Source organism: Homo sapiens, chromosome 11, assembly GCF_000001405.40.
Source record: "Homo sapiens chromosome 11, GRCh38.p14 Primary Assembly".
In the NCBI taxonomy this organism is placed as follows: Eukaryota; Metazoa; Chordata; class Mammalia; order Primates; family Hominidae; genus Homo; species Homo sapiens.
Window position 1 is genome coordinate 130,862,790 of NC_000011.10, and position 3,460 is coordinate 130,866,249.

The 3,460-nt window shown below is 45.9% G+C and overlaps 1 annotated feature.

Annotated features, from left to right (window-relative positions):
• Positions 2,717-3,216: an enhancer, noted in NCBI's record as "H3K4me1 hESC enhancer chr11:130735401-130735900 (GRCh37/hg19 assembly coordinates)". NCBI's record gives its function as "activates a minimal SCP1, AML or CMV promoter by ChIP-STARR-seq in naive H9 embryonic stem cells {active_cell/tissue: H9 hESC(naive)}" and the evidence as "EXISTENCE:reporter gene assay evidence [ECO:0000049][PMID:30033119]".

Sequence of the window (3,460 nt, forward strand, 5' to 3'; positions counted from 1 at the left end):
GACAAGGCTCATATCAATCTGTCCTGCCAAGAGATTACTGCTGTTAAACTGTTGGTTTTCACTGCTGTCAAACATAATCTTACAAGGAGAGAGAGGGGCAATCACCCTCAACACCCAGCTGCAAGAGAAGACTTTTGACTGGGCAGGACTTTTCCTGGCACTCTCTGGAGAATAAAAAAGGAATATGTAGAATGGCTGTTGTGTGATTAATGCTTACACCCACAGTGCGGCTGAGCCATTCCCAGGGGTGCACTGAGTGGGATCCCTCTACATGCAACGACCCTGCTGGCATTTCACAGGTGCCTGTGGAGAAGGCCCATTGAAGACCTGGGGCTGAAAGTGCAGCTCAACTTTGCACATATGCTTGGATTTCCTCTCTATTCCAAGGCAGACAGTCCTCAGGGTTTGGCCTAACACACAAAGGATGGGAAGAATAAAGAAACGATGTTCCAACAGTATTTCTGCAGATCTAAGCTACTGAAGGGATGCTGGACCAACCACGATAGATGCTTCCTTTTCCGCAGTGCCTCGAAAAACACTTAGGAGTGTGAAGGAGTGAAATTTTATGCTATTGGCCTTGTTCTCATTTACTTTTGATTATTATAAAATTATTCTAACGCAAAACCCATAAAAAATTGGTAACTCAGAATCTCGCCAGATGAACTGTTACATCGGACTACGCTCTAGGAAGAAGTATTAAAAATCAAAGATATTAACTTTCCAAGTGTTCATTTCCATCTGTTTTCCCTCTCTGGGACTCAGTTTCCTACTCTGTACAATTGGGACGGTGACCTACTTTCAAGGACCTTTATAGTTCAAACGCTCTTCGGTTCTGTGAAAAGAAGCCTTACATCATCCCATGGTGGGCTGCATGTCACATTATCACACAGAGTGGTCCTTGCTTTACAGAAAAATATTCATTTGCTCATTCATTCACCTATCCACTCATTCCACAAACAGTGAGCACCTACGATATTCCTCACACTGCTAAAGGCAGAGCTGTAGGGTGAGCTGTGAATAAAGCAAGGTCCTGGCCCTCATGGGGCTTGCATTCTTATGGGAACCACACACAGTGAAAGATTTAAACATATATAGTGTAACCTGAAGTGATGTAAGCCAGGCACAGAAAGACAAATACCACATGGTCTCACTTACATGTGAACTCTAAAGAGCTGAATTCATAGAAACACTGAATAAAATAGTGGCTAACAGGCTGAAGGGTTGGAGGATTGGGGAGATGTTGGTCAAAGGACACAAAATTTCAGTTAGGAGGAAGAAGTTCAAAGATCTATTGTATAACATGGTGATTACAGTTAACAACATATTGTATATTTGAAAATTGCTCAGAGTATATTTTAAGTGTTCTCACCACAAAAAATCATATGTGAGATAAGACATATTTTAAATAGCTTGATTTAGTCATTCCACAATGTAAACATATATCAAAATGTTATGCTGTACCCAATAAATCTATATAATTTTGTCAATTAAAACAAATATAGTGTAATGTAATATAGTATAATAATAGAATATAAATCAATAGTAAGTGCTATGAAGAAAAATCAGCAGGATAGGGATTATGGGATAAGGAATGTTATTTTTTAGACAGGGTGGTCAGGAAAGCCTGAGAAGGTGGCATTTGTGCAGAGACAGTGGAGTAGGGGAGTGAACCATGCCGGGTAGAGGAAAGAGCAAATGAGAAGGCCTCATATTCAGGCATGTGCTTGGTGTGTAAGGGCACTGGTAGACCAGGGGAACGAGGCTGTATTCCTGGATGTGGTCTTAGGTTTTGATTCTAAGATGGCTTTAGAGTTTAAGAGCATTCTCAAGAGTCAGTGTTGTGTGCAAGGCTCACTGCTAGGCCCTGGGAGTACCCAGAGATAAAACACTAGTCTAGTGCTAGAGGACACTCCTAAGGGACATGCACTCATCTACACAAGAGAAGGTACTGACGGTGGAAGGACGCATGTGCCAAGCATCCAATGCGTGGCGCAGACACTAGTTCTGAAGGAGCTCCAGAGATGGGGACTCGGGCACTGAGAGATGCCTGGGCGAGCAAGGGGAGTTTAATGTGGACCTGGAGGAAAGGACCAGGCAAACTGAGAGGCAGACTGTTCAGGCAAGGAAGGAGTGAGCAGAGGGAGTCGGCAGAAGTGGGCATGGCCTAATTGGCAATGGCTTGGTTGGAACAAAAGCATCTCACAGCAGAGCCATGGGAAATAAGAGGTGTGAGGAAGCTAACCCAGGAGGAAGGAAGTGGCCTGATTCCTCGAGGCTGGATAAGAAGGCGCTCCTCTGAATTCAAATGAGACTCCATGATCAACATGGTCAGGACTTTGATGCTATTATTCTAGGAAAGGGTTAATGGTTTCCCCTTGAGGCGTCATTCTCTAAGTGCTGAAAGGGCTGTATACCTCACAGGCCACTAGGCCCCACCTGCCCCAGAGGCCCAGTTAAGGAAGGATGGCTGCTTAGCGCTGCCTCCAGGGTGGAGTCTTCTCATGTGAATGGCTGCTCTCCGCACTCTGCCTAAGTCCTCCAGCTGCTCAAGGGCCTTGTGACCAGAAATCACCTTTCTGAAAGCCAACCTGACTGGCCCAGGAGTGAGCCCATCTCCATCCCAGCCTGTGTCTTCCTGTCCCTACTCCTGAGTATGAAGATGTGCAAGACCCTAACTTACTGGAGCACGGCTTGGAGCCTCGGGCATCAGACCCTGTGTCCACTGAGAACTGTGGATGTGGAATATGCCCAGGACTGCATTCTCAGCCGTGCCTGCCAGCCGCACACTGGTGCCCGCCTGCTGCACCATCTATGAGATAATGTCTCTCCATTTTGGGATTGTGACATAGTTACATCAGACCTCAATGGCCAGTGCTTGCATTCCAGGCCTGAGATCAGTGTGACAGCAGAGAAACCTGAGCCGCGAGGGACATTCTCAGGCTCAAAAATCACAAACCCGACAGGGAAAGGAATTTGATCAGAAAACGACACCATTTAGGTTATTTTAATGCCTGGATCTGAGCTGCCCTTTAAGCAGAGCCCCTTCTGTCGCAGGACTTTATTACCAAGTGACCCCGGCAGATGACTTTCATTTGTTTTTAACTGTAGAACAAGGTCATGTTTGCTTCGGGCATACTACATGGAGTGGACTTTGGGTGACAGGGTAAGCCCTGGCTCAGGCCTGTTTTTCCATGCACGCAGCATGCAGGCTGACAGGGCAGAGGCCAGGTTCTGAGGCTTTGTAGCAGATGGCCTCCTGTGTGTGCAGGGAGAACTTCTTCCACTCTTGCACATACGACTCCTAAACCTTCTACCTTTACGGAGGCATATACTGTTGAATGCCACCTAGGCATTCTTTGATCATCTGAAACTTGCGACTAAGAGGTGGGAAGAGACAACTGTCAACCACTTAGAAGTGACCATTAGTTCCCCGAACAGTCAATCAATTTAGGAATCAAGA